The sequence below is a fragment of the Homo sapiens genome, chromosome 9 (genome assembly GCF_000001405.40).
Source record: "Homo sapiens chromosome 9, GRCh38.p14 Primary Assembly".
In the NCBI taxonomy this organism is placed as follows: Eukaryota; Metazoa; Chordata; class Mammalia; order Primates; family Hominidae; genus Homo; species Homo sapiens.
Genome location: NC_000009.12, coordinates 129,728,116 through 129,754,661, shown reverse-complemented (window position 1 = coordinate 129,754,661; position 26,546 = coordinate 129,728,116). Strand labels below are relative to the sequence as shown.

General features: G+C 53.1%; 1 protein-coding gene across 1 annotated transcript, besides 2 other annotated features; it reads left to right on the top strand.

Moving 5' to 3' along the window:
- The first annotated feature begins 1,619 nt into the window (after positions 1–1,619).
- Positions 1,620–16,313, top strand: PTGES (prostaglandin E synthase). Its single transcript, NM_004878.5, has 3 exons — positions 1,620–1,775; positions 5,925–6,007; positions 14,802–16,313. Exons 1-3 carry the CDS (start codon positions 1,650–1,652, stop codon positions 15,049–15,051), a joined length of 459 nt encoding a protein of 152 aa, NP_004869.1. The 5' UTR covers positions 1,620–1,649; the 3' UTR covers positions 15,052–16,313.
- Positions 11,465–11,965: an enhancer, noted in NCBI's record as "H3K4me1 hESC enhancer chr9:132504976-132505476 (GRCh37/hg19 assembly coordinates)". NCBI's record gives its function as "activates a minimal SCP1, AML or CMV promoter by ChIP-STARR-seq in primed H9 embryonic stem cells {active_cell/tissue: H9 hESC(primed)}" and the evidence as "EXISTENCE:reporter gene assay evidence [ECO:0000049][PMID:30033119]".
- Positions 16,971–17,220: an enhancer, noted in NCBI's record as "active region_29119". NCBI's record gives its function as "activates an Ori minimal core promoter by ATAC-STARR-seq in GM12878 lymphoblastoid cells {active_cell/tissue: GM12878}" and the evidence as "EXISTENCE:reporter gene assay evidence [ECO:0000049][PMID:35858748]".

The following is a 26,546-nucleotide window of genomic DNA, read 5'->3' as shown; positions in this document are numbered from 1 at the left end:
TCTGGCTAATTTTTGTATTTTTAGTAGAGAGGGGATTTCACCACGTTGGCCAGGCTGGTCTCGAACTTCTGACCTCAGATAATCTGCCCCCCTCGGCCTCCCAAAGTGCTGGGATTACATGTGTGAGCCACCTGGCCAAGGTGAGGATTTTGAGGTGAGGGATTCAAAGAATCTTAGAAAACAAACGTTGATGCTTTCTTTCTTTTTTGAGACAGGGTCTTGCTCTGTCACCCAGGCTAGAGTGCAGTGGTGAGAACATGGCTCACTGCAGCCTCAGCCTCCTGGGTTCAGGTGATCCTCCCACTTCAGCCTCCTGAGTAGCTGGGAATACAGGCGAGCACCACCATGCCCAGCTAATTAAAACATTTTTTTGTAGAGACGGAGTCTCCCTATGTTGCCCAGGCTGGTCTTGAACTTCTGACTTCAGGTAATCTGTCCCCCTTGGCCTCCCAAGGGGCTGGAATTACAGGTGTGAGCCACCGCGCCCGGCCTGGTGATGCTTTCTACTGAAGAGTCAGTTGATAGGTCTTTCGGGGAGATCTTGTGATGAAGAATCAAAGCATTTGACTGGGGAAAGAGTTCCAGGATAGTCAAGTGATGCTCAGGAAGTCAGTGGAGCCACGTGCTGGTTCCCCATCCCTGCTATAGCAAATTACCACAGACTTAGTGGCTTAAAACAACACAGCTTCATTCTCTGACAGTTCTGGTGGATGAAGCCTGAAATGGGTCTCACAGGGCTAAAATCAAAGTGTCGGGAGGGCTGCGTTCTGTCTGAACGCAGAGAGTTTGTTTCGTCCCCTTTTCCAGTTTCTAGAGGCCCCTGGTATTCCTTGGGCCATGATCTCTCCTTCATCTTCAAGGCCAGCAGGTTAGCGTCTCTCCTGTCTGACCCCTATTCTGTCCTTTCATCTCCTCTCTTAATGCTGCCTCTGTTTTTATATCTTTTCTCTAATTTTACTGCCTCCCTCTTGGAAGGGCCCCTCTGTATACTCTGGGCTCACCCAGATAAACTAGGATAATTTCTCCCATCTCAAATCCTTACGAAATCCCATGTGAAAAGTCCCTTTTGCCACATAGTCACAGTCACGGGTTCTAGGGATTGGGACATGGATGTCTTTAGGGGTGGAGGGCGTCCTTCAGCCTGCCACAGATGGCAAAGTCATGCCATTGTGGCTGCAGCTCCATTGTCCAGGCTGAGTGTGGGGGCGCATGGCGTGGTTCTCATGCCCACCACCTACCCTGACCCTGCGGAGGTGGGCAGGAGGCAGCGATAATCACCACGTGCAGAGGTCCTGCCAGGTGCCCAGCCTCATCATTCCCTAGAAGGCAGGCACCACCACATGCTCCCACACTGTAGATAAGGAAACAGCTTTGAAACAGATTTGAAAGTGTTTGAGGATTTGCCTGGAAGGAGGGCTCCAGAGCCAGGGACTGGGTCCGGGACACCCGGAGACTCTCTGCTTCTTGGAGCTCCGGCAACTGCTTGTCTTTCTCTTCACAGGAGAAGGGGGCCCTGCTGCCGCTGCCGTGGGGCGGGGCGTGGGCGGTGCTGGCTGCAGGAAGGCTCTCCCCTCCCACTTTGTGCTTTCCCTGCAGGCTGCTCCTCTGTCGAGCTGATCACACCCACAGTTGAGCTGCGCTGGCCAGAGATGCCTGCCCACAGCCTGGTGATGAGCAGCCCGGCCCTCCCGGCCTTCCTGCTCTGCAGCACGCTGCTGGTCATCAAGATGTACGTGGTGGCCATCATCACGGGCCAAGTGAGGCTGCGGAAGAAGGTATGTGCCTCCCTGGGGGTCCCCGGCCTGGGTCATACTTGCTTCTCTCCACGTCCTGTCAGGAAAGCCCCGGGATAGGGAAACATGGCCAAGGTGTGTGCAGGGCTGGGAGGTGAGCACCTCTTCCAGCCCCGCCGGGGGGCTTCCTGCCAGTCCCACGTGTCAGCAAGGCCTGCACCTTCTCCTCTCTGGCTTAAGAGCACTTACTCGCTTGCCGTGCCACCGGGCTGAGTTCTTGGCATGGAGAGAGCCAGCGAGTGTCTGTGAGAGAAGCAGGTTCTGGAGGGTGGAGTGTGGGAGCGTGACAGCACAAAGCCTCTGTCTAACCTGGTGGCTTCCCGGCACGGGAGGTCTGATATCTGGGTGGAGTGGGAACCGGCAAAACAGGAGTCCGAGAAACGTTTAAGTGGAAATTCCCAACTCCTGGCAAATGTCACTAACAAGCCCACTGTAGCCTCCAAAGGCCAGCTCCCAGCCGGGCACCGTCGGGGTGCTCAGCGAGGAATTTCCCCACTAATCCGAGCCCCTGAACCAAAACAACATTAACGAGTCCCAGAGCTGGGCCGGGGCAAGTTCCAGTAGCGTCCGTCACACTGGTTGGCGAGTCTGCAAAGTCATAGGCTGAGCTTGTCGGCTGTCCTGGCGGCAGAATGCAGAAAGACCCCAGGCACCTGTTACTTCCTCCCCAGGTATTTTAATAAAGCAATCATTTCCTGAAACTGTCTCTGTCTTCCCCTGTGTCCAGTTCAAAGGCGAGGTGAGGCAAGGCTGGCTCTGGCACTGCATGCGGGTGGATCCTGGGGAGTGAGGATCTTGGCCACAAGCCAGGCTCAGGCCCTGCTGCAGGTACAGGCAGGATTAAAGGCAGGGCAGCTGCCCAAGTGATAGGATGCCCGGAGGCTACAGCACACTGATAGCTTCTGACTTCTCCCTGCCTTGGCTGGTCCTGGGATATGGGATCCGGGCATCAAGTAGAACAGCTGCATTCACTCATTGAATCCTTCCCAGAGGACCGAATGTGGCCCGGAGCTGAGCATGAGATCCCCGCCACAGCCCTGAGGGCAGGGGAGGCGCCATAGTCATCCTGTTTTCTAGGTGAGGAACCTGGGCTCAGAGAGGAGACATCACTTATGAAGGTCACACAGCCCGGTTTGAACTCCAGTGTCCAGCTTCAGAGCCCACATCCTGTCTTGGAGGCGGGGGTTTCTGTTTTGTTTTTTTTTTCTGCTGTCCAGGCTGGAGTGCAGCGGCATGATCTCTGCTTACTGCAACCTCCACCTCCTGGGTTCAAGCAATTCTACTGCCTCAGCCTCCCCGGTAGCTGGCATTACAGACACACACCACCATGCCCTGCTAATTTTTGTATTTTTAGTAGAGATGGGGTTTCACCATGTTGGCCAGGCTGGTCTTGAACCCCTGACCTCAGGTGATCCACCCGCCTCAGCCTCCCAAAGTGTTGGAATTACAGGCGTGAGCCACCGCACCTGGCTGAGGCCTGGGTTCTTACCAGCAGGCCAGCGATTCCTTTTTTTTTTTTTTTTTTAATTATTATTTATTTATTTTAGAGACAGGGTCTTGCTCTGTGGCCCAGGCTGGAGTGCAATTGTGCGATCATAGCTCACTGTAGCCTCGACTTCCTGGGCTCAGGTGATCCTCCCACTTCAGCCTCCCAAGTAGCTGGGACTATAGGTGTGCGTCACTGCTCCTAATTTTTTATGTTTTTGGTAGAGATGGCTTTTGCCATGTTGCCCAGGCTGGTCTCAAACTCCTGGGCTCAAGTGATCCTCCCATCTTGGCCTCCTGGAGTTCTGGGATTACAGGTGTGAGCCACTGTGCCCAGCTGTGATTTCCTTTTAACACGAATTCGGGGAAGGGAGGAGGTGAACCTGTCCCAGAGCCTTTCTGCCTGATTGGCAGGGACACCGCAGAAGGAAACCCCCACTCCTTGGGCTGCTCCTGAGGTGTTCCTCATGACAACGTGGCCCCCTCTTATCTCTGCTCTGGGCGCTAAGTATCATCCAGGAAGGACTTGCTGGAGGTGACAGTCACAGGCCCTGGCTCCTCCACCCACCAGCCTGGGGACCTGGAAAAGTCTGGGAGCTCAGTGTCCTCACCTGTAAACGGGGGTCGTGACAGCAGCGCCAGGAGAATGCAACGCCCCACCAATGTTTGTCCTTAAGACTTATAAGTAACTGAAATTAACATGAGCATCGCAGCCTCAGGTCACTTTCAAGGGACCTCAACCAAAGGCTGGCCTCCACCCCAGCTAAGGTGGCACCTCGGCCGCTGACACTGGGGGCTTCCTGGCCTGCACTGCAGCTGGCTCTGGCCTGGCTGACTTGTATCTGAGTTGTATCTCCAGGGGGAGCAACTCCATGGGCAGTGGACTCCTAAAGGCAGTGCCCACTGTATGCTGAGGCCCCTTGAAACGTATCACAGATCCACGGACAGAGCCTTCGGTGTTGGTGATTCACTGATTTCAGGGCCAGCAGAGAGGAATTTTGGGTGTGAAGGTTCCAATCTCGAAGATCTGAGCTGCATTCTCCTCTGGGGTAGGGCAGGGCAGGCCCACCAGGGAGGACAAACCAGCCCTTGGGGGACAGTCATGAGTCAGAAGCACAGGATTTGCCGTCAGCTGAACAATTTAGAAAACCTGCTCCTGAGATTCAGGCTCTGCTGTGGGCCTGGTGGGGTCTGACTGTCTGGATGCCAGCAGGGAACAGTGGAGCAAGAGTCATGGGCCTCTGATGATCTCAGTGTGACTTTATGTCTCTGCTTTCCAATGAGAGAAAGTGACAATTCACTGAGCACCTCCTTGTGCTGGGCATTGTCCTAGCGGCTTCTCCAGGTCTCCCTCTCACTCGTCACACAGCACATGAGCTGTGATTTCTCCTGAGTTTTCAGAGTTCAGGATCCTGTGGTTAATCAGCGCGGAGCTGGGTTTTCAGCCTGGGGCTCTCAAGACCTTCTCATGGCTTTTAGTGCAAAGTCCAAATTCTTCAGGTGCTGCCAGGACCCCTGATGACCCCTGTCCCTTTATCTTGGGCCCCTGTCCCTTGCCCTCTGTGCTCCCGTGTGCTGGTTTTCTGTTCTTCACACATGCCCAGCTTCTTCCAGCCTCAGGGCCTTTGCACGTGCTGTCCCTTCTGCCTTGAATGTTGTTGCTCCAGCCCTCCCTTCATCTGGTTAATGTCAATGCATCTTTCAAGCCTCAGATTGTTTGTTTTATTTTTTTTGGAGACAGAGTCTGGCTCTGTTGCCCAGGCTGGAGTGCAGTGGCAAGATCACGGCTCATTGTAGCCTCGACCTCCCAGGCTCAAGCAATCCTCCTGCCTCAGCCCTCCTGCCAAGTAGCTGGGACCACAGGTGTGTATCACCACACACAGCTAATTTTTGTATTTTTTATAGAGGGGGTTTCATCATGTTGCCCAGGCTGGTCTTGAACTCCTGAGCTCAAGTGATCCAACTGCCTCGGCCTCCCAAAGTGCTGAGATTACAGACATCAGCCACTGTACCCAGCTTGTTTGTTTGTTTTAGAGATGGGGTCTTGCTATGTTGCCCGGGTTGGTCTCAAACTCCTGGAAGCTCAAGCAATCCTCCTATCTTGGCTTCCCAAAGTGCTTGGCTCACAGGCGTGAGCCACCACACCTGGCTTGTTTTAGAGATGGGGTCTTGCTATGTTGCCCAGGCTGGTTTTGAACTCCTGGGCTCAAGCAATCCCCCTGCCTTGGCCTTCCGAAGTGCTGGGATTACTGGTGTGAGCCACCTCATCCAGCCCTAAGCCTCAGCTTTCATGTCACTGCCTCAGAGAAACTTTCTCAGAGCCTCAGACTGGGTCAGGTCCCACGTAAACATTCTCAAGGCCAGCCGTGCCTTCTTCTTAACAGGTGAGACACCCTGGCCTTCCCTGGTTCATAGGCAACTCCCCCATCGGACTGTGAGCTTCATAAAAGCAGAGACAGGGGGGCCTTTTCATGGTGAGCTACCAGCCCCTGGCACAGGGTAGGAATCGTGGATGATGGTTGGATGGGTGTGTGTGCAACTGCACCTCTGTCCTGCCACTGTGAACTCTGGTCATGGACAAAACATAGCCCCAGGTGACTGGGCCGTTTGTCTCACGAGGAGTGACTCTCAACTGGTATATTTCAGGCCTTTGCCAACCCCGAGGATGCCCTGAGACACGGAGGCCCCCAGTATTGCAGGAGCGACCCCGACGTGGAACGCTGCCTCAGGCAAGTACTTCGGGCCCCTGGCCTGGCCACACCTGGCCATGGCCTGCCCTTTCAGAACTTCTTCTGCACACAGGGGACTTGGAGGACTCCCAGGGGCTGAGGTTTTCTGTGTTCCTGATCTTCTCTGACTGTTTTACTTTATTCAATGATTTAATTTCAAATGAACTTTGGAAAAGTAAGACGTGGTCATGACTCATAATTACAAAGTGAGAAAGGTGGTGACTTCAGTGAACATTCAGTCTCCCTCCTACCTCTGACCTCCAGGCACTACGCAGTTCTACTGGCCAGGGGCAAACACTCCTGCCAATGGCCATGCATCTTCCCACAGAGATTTGCTGCATTTACAAACATGTGTGCCACGCTTTTCCCGTTCTGCCCCATAGAATCACCCTTTATCCTCTGGTCTGTACTATGCTTTTTTTTTTTTTTTTTTTTTTTTAATATGGCAACAGAGTTTGTTCCATATCGGCTCACAGAGGAGTTGCATTCACTGTATTGGTGCTCCAGTATTTATGTTGCCACTCTGTTGAATGTACAGCCCATAACTTCCCTAACCAATTCCCCTGCGATGGGCATTTGGGCTCCTTCTGTGTTATGAACAGAAGGCCTCAATACCTCTTTTTTTTTTTTTTTTTTTTTTTTTTTGAGACAGAGTCTCACTCTGTTGCCCAGGCTGGAGTGCAGTGGTGCCACCTTGGCTCACTGCAACCTCCGCCACCCGAGTTCAAGCGATTCTCCTGCCTCAGCCTCCCAAGTAGCTGGGGCTACAGGCGTGCACCATCATGCCTGGCTAATTTTTGTATTTTTAGTAGAGATGGGGTTTCACTATGTTGGCCAGGCTGGTCTGGAACTCCTGACCTCAGATGATCTGTCCGCCTCGGCCTCCCAAACTGCTAGGATTACAGGCATGAGCCACCGCACCCGGCCTCAACACTTTTTTCATTTGCCTTTATGGGTATGTGTGAGTAAAACCGCAGGATGCAACAAAATCATGTCCCACTACTGGTGTGGGAGCCATTTTTCCATCCCTCTGACAATGCAACTGACAACTCATTGTATTGGCATATTTGGGTGGATTCCTACCAAGGTGATAGGTGAAAATTTATATCACATTTTTGTTTTGCTTTGCACTTCTTTATTCTTAGTGAAGTTGAACATCTTTTCATATGCTTAACATCCCCCTGGTCAATTAAAATGAATTTCCTCATTATAAAAATCAGAACTCATTACAGACGATTTGGGTAATACTGAAAAAACACAGAGACAGAAAGGAAAACCACTCACAGTTCTAATCACAGTTCACACTTGCATCTCTCTCCTCTTTGTCTTCTATAGCTAAATATTTTCCATAAAATTAGGCATGCATTAGGTACACCCAATTTGGAGTTCTGATTTTCTTTTATTAACATTATTTTGCGAACACTTTCCATGTTGGTAAATGTTACTAAAAAAATTATTCTTGACCAGATGTGGTGGCTCATGCCTATAATCCCAACATTTTCGAGGGCCGGCAGATCACTTGAGGTCAGGCCTGGCCAACATGGCGAGACCCTGTCTCCACTAAAGATACAAAAATTAGCCGGGCATGGTGGCACGGGCCCGTAGTCCCAGCTACTCGGGAGGCTGAGGCGGGAGAATGGCATGAACCCAGGAGGCGGAGGTTGCAGTAAGCCAAGATTGCGCCACTGCGCTCCAGCTTGGGGGATAGAGTGAGACTCCATCTCAAAAAAAACAAAAGATCCTTAAAAAACTGGCTTCGTAAAATCCCATCAGAGACTAAATGCTAATTTCACATAATCACAGTCAATATTAAATTTTTTTGGCAGTTTCTGCTCTGCCATCTTTTACCAGTTAGCTGGAGAGTGAGGCGATGGCACTCCAGGGGTTGGGGTCATCGGAAGAGCTTGAAGGGGAAGTGGGGAGGACGGAGAGCTGGACAGGCTGAGGCCGGAGACAAACTGTCTCATGGGTCTCAACACATTCCCCTGCATCACAGGCGGAAATGGGTGGGACACTGTCATTTAAATAATACAAATTTCTTTCACTTGAAAGAAAGTCTGTGGGTTTTTTTCTTATGTTTTTCTTGGCCATTGACAATAATATGTCCACTTGTGGTTTTAAAAAAATTACAGACCTGTGTCATGTAGGAAGTGAAATTCCTTGCTATTTTACCCTTTCAAATCCTTCATATGAGGCCCGTCTCTCCATTAATGAGCCCTTACTACATCCCAGACACTGTGCTAAGCACTGGCTGTACTTTCAAGAACAAAAGCCTTCTCCATACATGACTTCCATTGGTGACTCTTGTCCCCAGCTGTGGCGGCCCTCCTGGACAGTGGAGAAGGATGGGATGAGCTGTCCAGGCAGCAGGAGGCCAGGACGGTGGGTTGCCCGGGGCCAGCTCACAGCAGCCACCAAGAGGATGCGTTTTGGCTCCTCCCAGGCTGCAGAGGTTTTATGTAGCAAAGCTTTCATGTGGCACAATGTGGCACAGGAGTGGCCAAGTGGCCTTACAGATACTTGGTTTATTTTTACTGGCTGAAACCATGCCCCATGGAGAGACGATAGACCCGGGTGGCGCCGAGACATTTCCACCCAACCAATCTTTTTTTTTTTTTTTGAGACAGAGTTTCGCTCTTGTCCCCCAGGCTGAAATGCAATGGCACGATCTCGGCTCTCTGCAACCTCTGCCTCCCGGGTTCGAGCAATTCCCCTGCCTCAGCCTCCCGAGTAGCTGGGATTACAGGCACCTGTGACCACGCCAGCTAATTTTTGTATTTTTTTTTTAGTAGAGACAGAGTTTCACCATGTTGGCCAGGCTGGTCTCAAACTCCTGACCTCAGGTGATCCACCTGCCTCGGGCTTCCAAAGTGCTGGGATTACAGGCGTGAGCCATTGCGCCCAGCCCAAAATAACCCCTCATCTACAGTACTGGGGTTTAAATGGTAGAAATTCATTTCAGCACTTTCTGAGTGCGTCTTATCTAATAATACTTTATAGCCATTTGGTGAGGACTTACTGGAAGCCGACTGTATACTGGGCCCAAGTCAGACCTGGGGAGTGCCTGGGTCCCCTGGGCCCCTCCTCTGCCACCTGATTTCACAGAACCTCATGGAAACTTGAGTGTGCAGAACTAAGAGAATTCTATATCCTGCCGTCTGCTACCGGAGAACTGGCTGGAACCCGAAGGGGGAGACCACCTGGAAGCAAAAGTTGGTTAAATATTAGACCAGGGTTTATGGTATGATTCGAGTCACCCTTCTGTCAAATAGGAAAGCACTTCAGTCTTGGTTCTTGGAGCATGAATCTGCCTTGCAGGTTAGCACATGCTGCAGTCCAAATGTGAGCCTAGTTCTGGGAGAAGCCAGGGACTAGCCACCTTTTCAGGATACCTATCCGGAGTTCCCGGCAATGTGCGTCTGGGCCAGAATCTGAGGTTGGGTGTGTGGAACTGCACGGAGGGGTTACCTGTGTGGTCCCAAAGAAGAGAGGCAAACGTGCGACCTAAGCTTGGAGCATTTCTGTTTGGAGTGTATAGACTTAAACTGAGTGAACTGATTTGTCAGGAAATTGGGTCCCAAAATGTCAGCCCTAGAAGTCCCTTAGATGTCATCCAGCATGTACATTTTGTACATAGTGAACGCAGTCCCAGAGAGTGAGAGAGATTTGCCTGAGGCCATGGAGCTAATAAGCACCACAGCAGAACTGGAGGTTTCCAGCCTAATACTCCCTTCCGGCTGCACCACGAAGTACTCAAAAAAAATTTTTTTTTTTTTTGAGATGGACTTTCACTCTTGTTGCCCAGGCTGGAGTGCAATAGCGTGGTTTCGGCTTGCTGCAACCTCCGCCTCCCGGGTTCAAGTGATTCTTCTGCTTCAGCCTCCTGAGTAGCTGGGATTACAGGTGCGCGCCACCACTCCTGGCTAATGTTTGTATTTTTAGTAGATGCAGGATTTCACCATGTTGGCTAGGCTGGTCTTGAACTCCTGACCTCAAGTGATCCGCCTGCCTCGGCCTCCCCAAAGTGTTGGGATTACAGGCATGAGCCACCTCGCCCGGTCTTTTTTTTTTTTTTTTTTTTTTGTGACAGGGTCTTGCTCTGTCGCCCAGGCTGGAGTGCAGTGGAATCCCGGCTCACTGATGCCTTGACCTCCTGGGCTCAAACGATCTTCTCACCTCAGCCTCCTGAGTAGCTGGGACCACAGACACGTGCCACCATGCCTGGCTAATTTTTAAATTTTTATTGTTGTAGAGACGGGATCTTGCTATGTTGCTCAGGCTGATTCCAGCACCCAAGTGATCCTCCCACTTCAGCCTGAGATCACAGGTGTGTGCCACCACACCCAGCCCCATAACGTGCTTTTGATTCATTTGGCCGGAGCATCTGAGGGCAGTCAGAAAGTCTGGCAAAGCCAAGAGGGTGAAGTGAGCTTTAGCGATGGTGTCCAGGACAGGGCTGGTGATGGCGATGGAGGAGATGGCGGCTTGCTTAAAATCTCCCTACTCAGTCAAGCACAGTGGCTCACATCTGTAATCCCTGCACTTTGGGAGGCTGAGGCGGGTAGATCACCTGAGCTTAGGAGTTTGAGACGAGCCTGGCCAACATGGCAAAACCCTGTCTCTACTAAAAATACAAAAATTAACCAGGCGTGGTGGGGCTCGCCTGTAGTCTCAGCTACTCAGGAGGCTGAAGCACGAAAATCACTTGAACCCAGGAGGTGGAGGTTGCAGTGAGCCGAGATCACGCCACTGCACTCCAGCCTGGGGCACAGAGCGAGACTCTGTCTCAAAAAAAAGATCTTCCTACTCAGTGTCCAGGAGTGTTGTAAGCACTTTCCAGGAATTCACTCACTTGGCACTCTGAGGAGGGGCCTGGCACTCTCGGCTCTGCTCCTGAGGCTGTCCCTCTATGGGAAGGCGATTTCACTGTCTTGTATACCTGCCTTTGAAACGAAGCAGGCACTGCATTGCGTCAACCCTGATACAAAGTCAAGGAAATTGGCCCCACCGTGGATGCCAGCAGGGCTGGGGGAGAGAAGAGGAGACCCTGTGGAGCGGCCAGCAGCTGTCCCTGTCCTGGCCATCTGGGGATCACTGTCCTCACCGCTGTCACCTATGCAGGAAAATGCAGCTGGTGTGGAAAAGTCTGTGGAGGGTGAAGGCAGGCCTGATGCTGCAGGAGGCAATACAAGTCCAGTCTAGTAGGAATTTGCTTTGGGTGGCTTTTACCTTAAAAAAATGGTTATTATTTGAATGATGCATTTCACCCGAGCACGTCTGTGGTACGTGCCTGCCTCCATGTCTCTCGGTTTGGAGCCTGGAGGTGGGAGGAGGGAGGTGAGCTTTCTTCCATCATTCCTTGGTGTCTCCATTGCTCCCTGTCCCTGGCCACTGCGGCCTCGGAGGGGCCCCTCTGCGGTTTGAGACAGACCAGACGAGTGAGGGAGGGCTGGGCCAGCCCCAGGGGCTGACAGTCAGAGCTCCTGACCACCTCTCCTCCCACGCTGGTGACCGCTGAATTGCTGCCCAATGGCTGGAAATAGAAGGTGGGGCTCAGTCCCCGCTTTTTCTGCAAGGCCTGCTCCTCCCCAGCCTGCAGACATGCCAGGCAGAGCAGGATCCACGTCTGCCATGAACTTCCCGTCTTGTTCCTCCTTCCCACCCTGTGTTCCCCAACTTCTTTCCTTCACCCACTCTTCAGGGTTTGGCTATGTTTGTGAACTATCTGTACTATGATTCTCTTAACAGCTTTCCAAACATTGACTTACTCTTTTTTTTTTTTTGAGACGGAGTCTCACTCTGTTGCCCAGGCTGGAGTGCAGTGGCGCGATGTTGGCTCACTGCAACCTCTGTCTCCCGGGTTCAAGAGATTCCCCTGCCTCAGCCTCCCGAGTAGCTGGGACTACAGGCGCCTGCCACCACGCCTGACTGATTTTTGTATTTTTAGTAGAGATGGGGTTTCACCATATCAGCCAGGATGGTCTCGATCTCCTGACCTCGTGATCCGCCCGCCTCAGCCTCCCAAAGGACTTACTCTTAAAATATCAACACATACTTTAAGGAATAGCTGAGTGAACGAGTTGCATATGCTGGTTGTGCTTTTCCTGAAACTTTCAAATAAACATTACAAAACTCCTCATCCAGGTGGCACTCCCTTGTGAATCACTTGTGACAGGCAGACCTCATTTTGGGACATAATCAAAAATGGGTTTTCCAAGGGTGTCCCTCTAATCAGCCTGTAGGGGGATGTGGGTACCCACAGCTCAATTGCCAGAGGACGGAGTGATTTTTGTTTTGTTTTATGTTTTTTTTTTTTTTTTTTTTTTGAGACAGAGTCTCACTCACTCTGTCGCCCAGGCTGGAGTGAAGTGACACGATCTTGGCTCACTGCAACCTCCACCTCCCAGGTTTAAGTGATTCCCTGCCTCAGCCTCCTGAGTAGCTGGGAACTACAAGCACACACCACCATGTACAGCTAATTTTTTTTTTTTGTACTTTTAGTAGAGATGGGATTTTGCCATGTTGGCCAGGTAGGTCTCAAACTCCTGTCCTCAAGTGATCCACCAGCCTCAGCCTCCCAAAATGCTGGGATTACAGGCATGAGCCACTGCACCCGGCCAAGGATGGAGTGATTTTGGAGGAACACCTATTGCCTTTCCTCATCAGTCCTGGTAAGGGACTTACTTGACAGGGAGGTGGCCCCAGTCTTTGGTTTCTCCCTCTCTTTTATTTTATTTATTTATTTTTTTGAGAGGGAGTTTCCCTCTTTTTGCCCAGGCTGGAGTACAATGGCATGATCTCAGCTCACTGCAATCTCCACCTGCCCGGTTCAGGTGATTCTCCTGCCTCAGCCTCCCGAGTAGCTGGGATTACAGGCATGCACCACCATGGCTGGCTAATTTTGTATTTTTAGTAGAGACAGGGTTTCACCATGTTGGCCAGGCTGGTCTCGAACTCCTGACCTCAGGTAATCCGCCCGCCTTGGCCTCCCAAAGTGCTGGGATTACAGGCGTGAGTCTGTAATCTCCCTCTTATGTCTTCCCTGAGGGCAGTACCCCAGGATCTATCCAGAGCCAGCCTCTGACAGACACAGGCAGGCCACAGTGTTCCCCACCGCTGGGTGAGAACTGCCCTGCCACAGACTTGCTTTCCTTGTGTCTGGGTTGCAAGGTCAGGATCTGGGGGAAAAGGAGAAGAGGGGTTCATGTCAGTCTCGGGATATGCGGACCCAGATGCCAGGTGCTGTGTCCTGAGTTTGGCCTGAGAAAGATCTAGGCCCTGCTGGGTTTACAGGAGTTTTGTACACTCAGATTGAATTCCTCTCCCTCTCTTATCTGCCTCACTCCCTCTTGTGCACCGCACTGTAGCCATGGGCTCACCTTTCTGCACATTGAACATGCTGTGCTTATTGTGACCTCAGGACCTTTGCACACACTGGTCTTCCTTCCTGGAATGCTTTTCCCCTGCAGGGCCAGCTTCTCATCATTCAGGCTTCTGCACATATGTCTCCTTCCCTGCCCACCCCCACCCCAGGCACGCTGCAGAGCTTCCTACAGTGTGGGGTGGCCAAGCACTCCAGGCCCCCTCTTTCCTTTTGGTCAGGCCCACACACCATCGCACTGGCCCAAGAATCGTCTTGCCAGTGAGAGGGAAGAGGAGGACCCTGCAGCGGGTCCCCACTCAGTGCTGCTAGTCTGGGCCTGGCCCGAGGAGACGGTGTTATTGGTGGAATGTATGTCAGCAGGAAGGCCCGGAGAACATGCTTCTGTTCCTGCACCTCACACGCGTGGCCTGTCCTTGGGGGAGGTCATGCCCTGGGCACTGAATTCCTGTTTATTTGAGCTTCCAATGTGGCAATCTATGGGTTTAGTTGCTCATTCAGTCTCTAATTTATGGGACTCAACCTCCCCACCCTTCATAAAGGAAGCCGGCCATTAGTAGGAGTCTGGAAAATGTGAACCAGCAGAAGTAGGTGAGTTTTCTGAGTTTTCTTTCTTGGTCATTTATTTATGGTGGGGTTATACAGAGCCCCTCCGCCCCCACCACACATATGCACATGCTTGATTCCTTTCAACAGAAAAAGAGGCAGGAAAGGATGTGTAAAATGAAGAGCTTCACCGGGGGCTGGCCATCGGTTGGCTCCAGTGAGTGGGAGCGGATCTTGTTATGATTGTCCCTGAAAGGACAGGTGGTAGTTAGATTTAGGGGGAAAAGGAGACAGAGCCCGGCATTCATTTCAAAGGCCTGCTCTTGGGCTCTAGCCCCTTCTACTCGGGAGGGGCCCAGGAAGCTGCATTCAGAAGGAGGATGACCTCAGGCCTGACTCAGAGAAGCCCTGCCCTGGAGGTAAAGAGCACAAACTCCAGTCAGAACTCGGTTCCAATCCCAGCTCCTCCACTCGTTGGCTCTGTAAAGCACTCAGCACCTCTGAGTCCCACTTTTCCTGCCTGGTATCCAAGGGCTAGAGAGGAAGGTGGGGGAGAGTATGGCAGGAGTGGGGTCCCGGCAAGCCATAGAGGTATGGTAAGAGCATCCTGGACCAGTAGCCCTCTGACTCCCAGCCCATGACGTGGCCTCGCTGCCTCAGCTGCTTGCAAGCATAAGCTTGGAGCTGCCTTCTTCTGGACTCTGGGGTATCCATCTCCTTGACCTGGCTGTGAATGGATTTGAGTGTGTGATATGCCTGAAATGACCCCCAGTGGGTCAAAGCACCCCCAGCTTCCATGACACTCTCAAAAGGGCCTATGGCCCCAAAGCTAATACCTGGCTGACCGCACCCCTCTTGTCTCCCCAGGGCCCACCGGAACGACATGGAGACCATCTACCCCTTCCTTTTCCTGGGCTTCGTCTACTCCTTTCTGGGTCCTAACCCTTTTGTCGCCTGGATGCACTTCCTGGTCTTCCTCGTGGGCCGTGTGGCACACACCGTGGCCTACCTGGGGAAGCTGCGGGCACCCATCCGCTCCGTGACCTACACCCTGGCCCAGCTCCCCTGCGCCTCCATGGCTCTGCAGATCCTCTGGGAAGCGGCCCGCCACCTGTGACCAGCAGCTGATGCCTCCTTGGCCACCAGACCATGGGCCAAGAGCCGCCGTGGCTATACCTGGGGACTTGATGTTCCTTCCAGATTGTGGTGGGCCCTGAGTCCTGGTTTCCTGGCAGCCTGCTGCGCGTGTGGGTCTCTGGGCACAGTGGGCCTGTGTGTGTGCCCGTGTGTGTGTATGTGTGTGTGTATGTTTCTTAGCCCCTTGGATTCCTGCACGAAGTGGCTGATGGGAACCATTTCAAGACAGATTGTGAAGATTGATAGAAAATCCTTCAGCTAAAGTAACAGAGCATCAAAAACATCACTCCCTCTCCCTCCCTAACAGTGAAAAGAGAGAAGGGAGACTCTATTTAAGATTCCCAAACCTAATGATCATCTGAATCCCGGGCTAAGAATGCAGACTTTTCAGACTGACCCCAGAAATTCTGGCCCAGCCAATCTAGAGGCAAGCCTGGCCATCTGTATTTTTTTTTTTCCAAGACAGAGTCTTGCTCTGTTGCCCAAGCTGGAGTGAAGTGGTACAATCTGGCTCACTGCAGCCTCCGCCTCCCGGGTTCAAGCGATTCTCCCGCCTCAGCCTCCTGAGTAGCTGGGATTACAGGCGCGTATCACCATACCCAGCTAATTTTTGTATTTTTAGTAGAGACGGGTTCACCATGTTGCCCAGGAGGGTCTCGAACTCCTGGCCTCAAGTGATCCACCGGCCTCGGCCTCCCAAAGTGCTGGGATGACAGGCATGAATCACTGTGCTCAGCCACCATCTGGAGTTTTAAAAGGCTCCCATGTGAGTCCCTGTGATGGCCAGGCCAGGGGACCCCTGCCAGTTCTCTGTGGAAGCAAGGCTGGGGTCTTGGGTTCCTGTATGGTGGAAGCTGGGTGAGCCAAGGACAGGGCTGGCTCCTCTGCCCCCGCTGACGCTTCCCTTGCCGTTGGCTTTGGATGTCTTTGCTGCAGTCTTCTCTCTGGCTCAGGTGTGGGTGGGAGGGGCCCACAGGAAGCTCAGCCTTCTCCTCCCAAGGTTTGAGTCCCTCCAAAGGGCAGTGGGTGGAGGACCGGGAGCTTTGGGTGACCAGCCACTCAAAGGAACTTTCTGGTCCCTTCAGTATCTTCAAGGTTTGGAAACTGCAAATGTCCCCTTGATGGGGAATCCGTGTGTGTGTGTGTGTGTGTGTGTGTGTGTGTGTGTGTGTGTGTGTGTTTTCTCCTAGACCCGTGACCTGAGATGTGTGATTTTTAGTCATTAAATGGAAGTGTCTGCCAGCTGGGCCCAGCACCTCGTCTTGGGTTGCGCGTTCCTGGTGTTCCCTGCTGCCCAAGCTGGCCTGATGCTCCAGCGCGCTGGGCGTTCTTGCCGGTGACTGTCTACAGCCAGTTTGGCGGGACAAGATCTCTGGCGCAGACACCAACGCGCCCTGGCTGGGTGTTAATCACACAGCAAGCAGCAGCCTCCTGCCTCCCGTTGGGGCGGGTAAGGTGGCATCTGGCGAGGTGAGCCAGGAGCACCCAAATCCTGCCCCGGCCAGGTCACCCCTCCCTGCGGGGCTGCCCCGCCCGCGGGCTGCCATTATCAGCTCCGTCAACCAGGACACGGAGACTCCAGGAGGCCAGCGCCCGGAAGTGCGGGGCCAGGTCTGAAAGTCGGGGCTGCCAAAGTCCCTGGGCGGAGCCCCTGTGCTGCACGGCCTCACTTTCCCTGAACGCCCCCTCCCAGCACCCCGAGGCCGGAGCCCCTCTAACGGATGGGACCTGCCGTGCCGGGGGTTCTCCAGCAGCGCAGGGACCCCAGGCCCCGCCAGAAAGCGCCGTGAGGCCCCGGGTCCCGTTCGGAGCTGAGAGGGGAAACACTGCCCCCTGGTGGTAAGGGGACGCCTCTGTTTTTGGGCCGCGGCGGCTCTCGGGAGAGAAACGGGAAGGGCGCGATCCAGTATTGAGCACCTACTGCTTGCTAAGCGTTGGGCTGGGCATACTAGTTGGATTTTTTTCCAACTTATGTCTGTAATTCAAGCACTTTGGGAGGCCGAAGTTGGAAGATCTGAGCCCAGGGGTTTGAGACTAGCCTGGGCAACAGAGCTAGATCCCTTTTCTACCAAAAAAAAAAAAAAGAATTAGCCGGGTGTAATGGTGCCTGCCTATGGTCCCAGCTACTCGGGAGGCTGAGGCAGGAGGATCGCTTGAGCCTGGGAAGTTGAGGCTGCAGTGAGCCGAGATCCCACCACTGCACTCCAGCCCGGGCAACAGAGGGAAAATGTCTCAAAAAAAAAAAAAAAAAATCCCCAAAACAATCCGAGGCAGGAGGGATTTCCGCTTTCTAGATGAGGAAGGTGAGGGTTTTTAGATGAGAGAGGCAAGGTTCACAGGAAGGAGGCTTGTAGGGGGTGTCTCCTCACAGGGGAGAGGTGACTTGCCTGCTGTCCCTGGGCTCGGACAGTGTAAGGCCAGAGGGAGGACAGATCCCAGGGCAGGGGCCATCCAGGAGGCGAACCCAGCGTGCATTCTTGTTGTTGTTGTTGTTGTTGTTTGAGATGGAGTCTCACTCTGTCACCCAGGCTGGAGTGCAGTGGTGCCATCTCGGCTCACTGCAACCTCTCCTTCCCAGGTTCAAACCATTCTCCTGTCTCCGCCTCCCGAGTAGCTGGGATTACATACAGGCATGTGCCACCACACCCGGCTAATTTTTATATTTTTAGTAGAGACAGGGTTTCACCATGTTGGCCAGGCTGGTCTCGAACTCCTGACCTCAAGTGATCTGCCTGCCTCAGCCTCCCAAAGTGCTGGGATTACAGGAGTGAGCCACCGTGCCTGGCCACAGCAGCGTGCGCTTTTATATTTATATTTTCCTTCCTGGGGAAAGAGGGGCTCTGTGGGCAAAATAACCTGCTGGGAACCCACCGGACCCAGGTGAGCAGGGGCATCGGATGCCCATGGCAATACTGTGAACCTGGGGCGTGGGTGAAGGAGGCGGCCCCCACCACACTGGAGCCGCAGAGACCACGAGACCATGAGGTCCCCTGCCCGGCACCGCCCCTGTTCTGTCGGCTTGTGAGTGCCTCCTCAGGGTGGGGTGGTGCCCGATGCTGGGGTGGCAACCTCATCCTGCCCCCCGTCCCCATGCATGCAGCTCCAGCCTGGGGTGGGCGGGCTCCGCAGGACGGCGCCCGTGATGACCCCAAGGCTCAGCGCCCTGATGGAGGCAGATGGGGCCTTTTAACCCCTGCTGGGGAGCGGCTGCCTGGGGAGGGGGCAACTCACCTGCGGTGGGGGGTGAAAGAGCGGTTTTAAGGGGACCATCCAAGCCAAGAAAGCAAGGAGCAAAGAGAAGAGCTCAGCAGCTCTCCCCAGACCCCTCCACCTTGAGCTTGGGAAGTGGAGGGCGGTGGGGAAAGTTGGGGAGGAAAAGTGTGAGGGTTGATGGTGTGGAGGGGAGATGTACGGAGGGGCGTGGGGGTAGGGGGAGGGAGTGGGGATGGGGGAGGGATGGGGTATGAAAGGGAGGCGTGGGGGGTGTGGAGAAGGGGTGGATATGGAAGGGAGGGGTAGGGGTGGGGTGGGTGTTGGGGATGAGTGTGGGGGAGGGGTGGGTATGGAAAGGAGGGGCAGGGGTCGGGGTGGTTGTGGGGGAAGATTGGGACATGGAAGGGAGGGGTGGGGTGGGGTGGGTGTTGGGGATGTGTGTGGGGGAGGATTGGGGTATGGAAGGAAGACAGGGTGGGGTGGGGTGGGTGAGGGTGTTGTGGGAGTGGTGCGTATGGAAGGGAGGCTTGGGTTGGGCTGGGTTGGGGGTGGGTGTCGGGGAGTGGTGGGTATGGAAGGGAGGTGGGGGTGGGAGACAGATGGGCATAGAAATGAGGTGTAAGTGTGGGAGGGGCTAAAGGGATCAGCAGTGTGGGGTCACGAGCCTCTGGCCCTTATCAGGGAGTCTGGGGCTGTGGGTCACGCCGGGATGGGCTTGGCATGGCTGGCTTTGTTTCCTAAGAGGACCTCTGGCTCTGCCGTGGGAGGGCAGGGGGTGTGGACAGCCAGGCAGTGGACACAGTGGGCAGTGGCATGGCTCTTGCTTCCCCAGTGGCTTGGACAGTCCCCTGGCTACTCGCCCAGGAGCTGGAGGACCCAGGTGCGGGGGAGAGAAGAGAGGGGCAGTACCCAGGATGGTGTCTGGGCTGCTATGAGGAGCCCATTGAATTTTTTAAGGGAGAGAAGGAGGCCCTGGAGGCCTGTGCTGCTCCCACCCAAGATCAGACCCAACCCTCGGGGATGGGGAGGGCCAGGAAGAGGTCTTCTGGCTCCACAGCCAGGGCCCTAGGGGGCCAGGGCCCATCTCCCGGGCAGCAGTGGAGCACAGTAGGCCAGCGAGGCAGGGAGGGCATCTCATGGTTTTCTTTTTTCTTTTCTGAGACAACAGTCTTGCTCTAGCCCAGGCTAGAGTGCAGTGGCACGATCTCGGCTCACTGCAGCCTCCGCCTCCTGGGTTCAAGCGATTCTCCTGCCTCAGCCTGCCGAGTAGCTGGGATTACAGGCATGCGCCACCACACCAGGCTAATTTTTGTATTTTTAGTAGAGACGGGGTTTCACCATCTTGGCCAGGCTGGTCTCGAACTCCTGAACTCAGATGATCCGCCTCGGCCTCCCAAAGTGCTGGGATTACAGGTGTGAGCCACCATGCCCAGCCGCATCCTTTTCTTTTTCTAACAGATGGGGGCGGGGGGAGTCTGGCTCTATCATCCAAGTTGGAAAGCAGTGGCACCATTGCAGCTCACTGCAGCCTTGAATTCCTGGGCTCAGGCAATCCTCCCACCTCAGCCTCCTGAGTAGCTGGGACCACAGATGTGTGCACCACGCCTGGCTAAAGCACCTCATGGTTGATCGCATCTTCCGAACTGACCAGAGGCAGAGTGGGAATTGGTACCGAGTGCAAGATGACCTCAGGCACTGGCGGGGTTCTTCCTGACCTCATCCCCCACGCCTGTGGCCCCCCACGCCTGCAGCCCATCTTCCTCCCAACTCCCCCCAGATTTAGCTCAACTCCTGGGGGCTGTCTCCTCCTTCCTGACCCTGGAGTTGGGGGCACTGGGAAGGGTGGGCCTCGGCTGTCTGTGGTCTAGGGGGCAGAGGGCACTGAGCAGAAGCCTGGGGGGCCCAGAGCCTCGATTCAGGGAGGCAGGCAAGGACTTTTTCCTCTTGGGGGCAGTGAATGGGGCCAAGGTCCAGGCCTGCAAAGCTGAAGCTGCCCTAGTTGGGGCCCACTGTCTGGAGCATCTTCTCCCGAGCTCTGAGTGAGCAGTTGGAATTCATGTAGACCCAAGGCCCAGGGAACAGGATAGCAATCTGGGGGCCTCTTTTCATGATATGTCAGTGAGATCTCATGTTACAGAAGCCTTCATTCCCACCCCACACACCTTCTTAGGAGGAAGCCCATGGCAGGTGATGGCAGCTGTGCCCTGCCCACCTGGGCTCCCCCATCTCTCGTGACAGGCCCACCAAGGACCTCCTGGGGCTCCCTCGACAAACAGGTTAATGAGTCTAATGTCTCAAGGCTTCTGAGAACCTCCCTGGTGCGTGAGGACCTTGAGGGTGAGGATGAGGGCAGGCAATGATGACAGTGGACAGAGGGACCTGCTGTTCACCGCCTTGGATGCTGGTCTGCGAGGCAGGGATCGAACCTGGGGACCCCCTGGGAAGGCAGAATCCACAGGATTGAGGGGATTCCTGGGCCTCTGTGTGTGTATCCTGGGAGGATGCTGCGGTTGGGAACAGGTTTCCAGGCAGGCCAGGCTGGAAGGTTGCACTGTTTCTAATTCAAGGCAGTCCAAAGAGGGATTATCTGTTGGGGCTGGTAAGAATCCAGGCAGGCTTCCCAGGAGAGGCATCGCTTGAATTAAAACTTGTTTATGTTTTTAGGCTGGGTGCAGTGGCTTACTCCTGTAAATCAACCCCAGCACTTTGGGAGGCCCAGCCAGGCTGATCATTTGAGACCAGGAGTTCGAGTCCAGCCTGGCCAACATGGCAAAACTCCATCTCTATTAAAAATACAAAGATTAGGTCGTGTGCAGTGGCTCACGCCTGTAATCCCAGCACTTTAGGAGGGTGAGGTGGGCGGATCATGAGGTCTGGAGATCGAGACCATCCTGGCAAACATGGTGAAACCTCAGCTCTACTAAAAATAACAAAAATTAGCTGGGCGTGGTGGGCGGGTGCCTGTAATCCCAGCAACTCAGGAGGCTGAGGCAGGAGAATCGCTTGAACCCGGGAGGCGGAGGTTGAAGTGAGCCGAGATCGCACCACGGCACTCCAGCCTGGGTGACAGAGCGAGACTCTGTCTTAAAGAAAGGCTTGTTTAAGTTTCTGAACTTGTTAATTATATGTACTTGCAAGTAATGGTCGATGTCACAGGTTTAGAAACTACAGGAAAGCTCACAAGAGCTCACAAGAGAAACATCAACCCCTCCAGGAATCACCATGCGGAGGCTGACCCAGGCCGGGCTCCGGGCGCTCTGGGACTCCTGTTCAAGCGCCTTGCAGTGAGGCCCTGGGTCACTGCAGTACCTCCCGACTGGATCCCTGAGTCTACCCTGGGCCCTTACGGTCACTCCCCACCCAGAGTCAGAGGCCCCCATCACCCCTGTGTGCGAAGCCCTCAGGTGGCTTTGATCCTGCTTGGAGGAAGGCCAAGTTCTCAAGAGGCCAGCAAGGTACCTCGAGGTCGTCAGTGTGCAGACCCCCTTTACCTTCTGTGTCTTTATCTCATTGCCCGTGTCCCCCTAGGATGTGCACTTGAGGGGCACCGGGATTTCGGTCTGTGCCGTTCTCTGCCGTGCCTGTGTCCCCGGCTCCTGGGGAAGATATGTTAAGTGAAGAAACGGATGTGAATGATGAGTGTGTACATGCACGTGTGTGTGGATACAAGCAGAGGGCCACAGGGAGGTTCAGGTTGTTTTTTCCCCCACCGGACCAAATTGAAGACTATATTCAGGATGGAATTCCACAGCAAAAGATATTTACAGAGGGCTTCTCAGCATCGGGGAGACGCCAGTGTGTCACAGCGGTGAGTGCTGTCTGTGCTCGGGGCTCACAGCCTTGAAGAGACACCTAAGACTTGCTTTTTTTATCATCGCTTGAGAATTTCCTTTGATCATACATCTGCATGTACTCCTAGGGGTCTCGGTGGTCAGTGGCATGAACTGTGACAGTGCCCTTGCACGGTACATCATCATCCTGGAGACCCTCATCATTTATTTAATCAGCCCTCGTTGTTGGATAATTGATTCATCAGGGTGCATGAGCACATGCCATGCTTTCAATGGGCGTCTTCGTACATCAATCTCTGTGCACAGCGGATGCAGGACAGGCGAGCCTCAAAGCAAGGCTTAGCCCGTGATGGTTCTTGGCTTTGCCCAGGAAATAATTCAAGGGCAAGCCATGGTAGAGCAGAAGAAAACAGCTTTATTGAAGCAACGGTGTCACAGCTCCGTGACTGCTCCTGCAGAACAGGGCTACCCCCACAGGTAGAGAGGGGCAGCTCAGGGCAGTTTTGCGGACATATTTATACCTACTTTTAATTATATTTTAATTAATGTAGATTAAGGGGCAGTTTATGCAGAAATTTCTAGGGAAGGGGTAGTCACTTTTGGGTTGTTGGGTCATTGCCATGGAAATGGGGGGTAACTCCTGGGTGTTGCCATGGCGATAGTAAACTGACATGGCACACTGGTGATCTGTGGTATGGAAAGCTGCTTCTGCCCCCGTCCCTGTTTTGGCTAGTCCTCAATTGGTCCGGTGTCTGAGCCCCACCTCCAGAGTTGAGTCCCACCTCCTACCTCACAGCCATTTCGTTAAAGTATGTTTCTTTCTCTCCCTTCCTTCCTTCCTTTTCTTTCCTTCCTCCCTTCCCTCCCTCCCTCCCCGTCTCTCTTTTCTTTTCTTTTCTTTTCTTTTCTTTCTTTCCTTCTTTCCCTCCCTCCCTTCCTTTCTTTTCTTTTCTTTCTTCTTTCTTTCTTTCCAAGACAGGGTCTTGCTCTGTCATCCAGGCTATAGTGCAGTGGCACAATCATAGCTCACTGCAGCCTTGACCTCCTGGGCTCAAGTGATCCTTCCACCTCAGCCTCCCAAATAACTGGGACCACAGGCATGCACCACCACACTTGGCCAATTTTTTGACTTTTTTGTAGAGACAAGGTCTCGCTATGTTGCCCAGGCTGGTCTCAAACTCCTGGACACAAGCGATCCTACTGCCTCAGCCTCCCAAAGTGCTGGGATTACAGGCGTGAGCCACTGTGCCCCTCCTAAAATATGTTTCTAGAAGTAAAACTGCTGGGTCAAAAAGGCATGTCTGTTTGGGACGTGTAGTACATATTGTCCTCCAAAAAGATGGTTCCAATTTGGACAGGATTTTTTAGAGTGTTGTCAATTTTTAGTACCTAAGTAGAGAAATTTACAAGTATATATATAAAGAATAGGGACCACCCAGAATCCCACCTCCCTGTAAAAAGTCACTGGTCACATTATCGTTTATGACTTTCCAGATTCTTTTACTATGCATGTTAAACATATATAATGTCATATGGATATATGTGGATATATATATCTAAAAGAGAGAGTGAGCCTGGGAGGTAGGCAGTGTTTCTCCACCTCTAAGCCCCTTTTGATGATGTTATTGTGATGGTCCCTAGAGATGCAGGTTTGAGGCCACCCAGCTGACGGTGGCTGCCCCCTCAGTATCTACACCAGCCAAGAAGAGTTTGAGTAGCTTCACTTTTAGAAGTTTGAATTATGAAACTAGGGCTTTTTTTTTCCATTTTCCAAATATAAAATTATAACACGGAGTTATATATATTTTTTATTATGTTTGCTGACTGTCCAGAATTGAACTTGGCCAGGCGCAGTGGCTCACGCCTGTAATCCCAGCACTTTGGGAGGCCCAGGTGGGTGGATCATTTGAGACTGGAGTTCGAAACCAGACTGGGCAACATAGTGAAACCCCATCTCGAAAAATAAATACAAAAATTAGCTGGGTGTGGTGGCGCATGCCTGTAGTCCCAGGTACTTGCGAGGCTGAGGCAGGAGGCGGAGGTTGCAGTGAGCCCAGATCATGCCACTGCACTTCAGCCTGGGTGACAGAGTGAGGCCATGTCTCAAAATAATAATAATAATAAATAAAAAAAAATTTAAAAGGTGACACTACATTGTAACCTCATTGGAGTGGATTTTTGCTGGCAAAGGGGTTGGATGGGAAGCTGTTGCTACAGGGAGACAGGGAGGAGGGATACAATGGAAAGAGGGGACCGAATTGTTAGGATTGTCTGAAGAATCTGGCCAGGTGCAGCAGCTCACGCCTGTAATCCCAGCACTTTGGGAGGCTGAGGCGGGCGGATCACCTGAGGCCAGGAGTTTGTGACCAGCCTGGCCAACATGGTGAAACCTTGTCCCTACTAAAAATACAAAATGAATCAGGCGTGGTGGCAGGTGCCTGTAGTCCCAGCTACTCAGGAGGCTGAGGCAGGACAATCGCTTGAACTTGGGAGGTGGCGATTGCAGTGAGCCGAGATTGTGCCATTGCACTCCAGCCTGGGTGACAAGAGCGAAACTCTGTCTCAAAAAAAAAAAAAAATCTGGGTAGGGACGAGGCGGGGTTAAGGTTGGATGGTGGCACTGTAGACACCTGGCCTGGGTGATTGATCTTTGCTGCAAGGGCCCTGGGGAGCCAAGGGAGGCTCTAGGCAGGGAAGAGACATGATCCGTGATCAAGGCTGTGTTTTAGACAACTGGCCTGTTGACTGTGCAGAATGGCCAGGAAGGAGATAAATAAGACAAGAGGCTGTTTACTGTGGACTGGCAGGTAATTAGAGCAGGGGCCTACCATCCAGTCTGCTCTGTGGCAGGTCTGGGGGTTCCCTGGGTGTCCCGTGGGCCAAGGGAGGCCAAGCTCAAGGTGAACTTTCTTTTCTTTCTTTCTTTTTTTTTTTTTTTTTTTTGCGGGGGGGAGACAGAGTCTTGCTCTGTCGCCCAGGCAAGAATGCAATGGGGCAATCTCGGCTCACTATAACCTCTGCCCCCCCGGGTTCAAGCAATTCTCCTGTCTCAGCCTCTGGAGAAGCTGGGATTACAGGTGTGCACCACCACGCCTGGCCAATTTTTGTATTTTTAGTAGAGACGGGGTTTCACCTTATTGGCCAGGCTGGTCTCCAACTCCTGACCCTCAGGTGATACTCCCGTCTCGGCCTCCCAAAGTGCTGGGATTACAGGTGTGAGCTACCGCACCAGCCAAGGTAAACTTTCAAGCTTCATTCCCACCTGTGTTAGTTTTTTATGGCTGTGTAACAAGTTGCCAGTTTAAAACTATACACGCTTACGATCATACAGTTCCTGTAGGTCAGGAGTCTGGGCGAGGCTCAGCTTGGTGCTGTGCTCAGGACCTCCCAGGGCTGCAATCGAGGTGTCATCCAGGCTGAGTCTCACTTGAAGCTCAGTGTCTTCTTCTAAGCTTGTTTGAATTGTAGGCAGAATTGGGCTCCTTGTGGTTCTGAAACTGAAGCCCTCAGCTCCTGGCGGCCTCCCCCTCCGCAGGCACTTCACAGCATAGCTGTTTGCGTCTTCCAGCTCAGCAGGAAAGTGGCTGTCTGCTTGGAATCTCTTCTTTCAGGGACAACCTGGATCTTTCAAAAGGCTCGCCTGATTAGGTCAGGCCCACCAGGGAGAATCTTCCTTTTGCTTACATCAGCGTCAACTGAGTGGAGACCTTAATTACATCTGAAAAATCCTTTCACCTTTGCCGCACTCTATTTGTCAGAAACAAGCCACAGTTTCCGCTCAAGGAGAAGGGATTACACAAAGGTGGGACTACCTGGGGTGGGAATCACAGGGCCATCTTTTTTTTTTTTTTTTTTTTTTGAGACGGAGTCTTGCTCTGCAGTGCAGGCTGGAGTTCAGTGGTGTGATCTTGGCTCACTGCAACCTCCACCTCCCGGGTTCAAGCGATTCTTCTGCCTCAGCCTATCGAGTAGCTGGGATTACAGGTGTGTGCCACCACGCCTGGCTAATTTTTTGTATTTTTAGTAGAGATGCCATGTTGGCCAGGCTGATCTCAAACTCCTGACCTCAGGTGATCTGCCTGCCTTGGCCTCCCAAAGTGCTGAGATTACAGGTGTGCGCCACTGTGCCCGGCTAATTTTTTGTATTTTTAGTAGAGATGCCATGTTGGCCAGGCTGGTCTCAAACTCCTGACCTCAGGTGATCTGCCTGCCTCGGCCTCCCAAAGTGCTGGGATTACAGGTGTGAGCCACTGCGCCCGGCTGGCAGGGCCATGTTAGAATTGTATCTGCCACACCGTCTCTCTTTTGAGTCCCCCTTCTGATTTCAAGGTGCTCATTCCTGACTGCCTTATATCCCAAGCTCAATCCATTCCCACTTTTTCTAAGGTGTGAACTAAGAATTAAGAAGTTCTTGGAGAGCCATTACGCAGTGGCTCACACCTGTAATCCCAGCAGTTGGAGAGGCCAGAGC

Coding starts and splice junctions, on each gene's coding strand:
- PTGES (NM_004878.5), top strand. CDS start 1,650: ATGCCTGCCCACAGCCTGGTGATGAGCAGCCCGGCCCTCCCGGCCTTC. Junction 1,776..5,924: donor AAGTGAGGCTGCGGAAGAAG/GTATGTGCCTCC, acceptor GGTATATTTCAG/GCCTTTGCCAACCCCGAGGA. Junction 6,008..14,801: donor GACGTGGAACGCTGCCTCAG/GCAAGTACTTCG, acceptor TTGTCTCCCCAG/GGCCCACCGGAACGACATGG.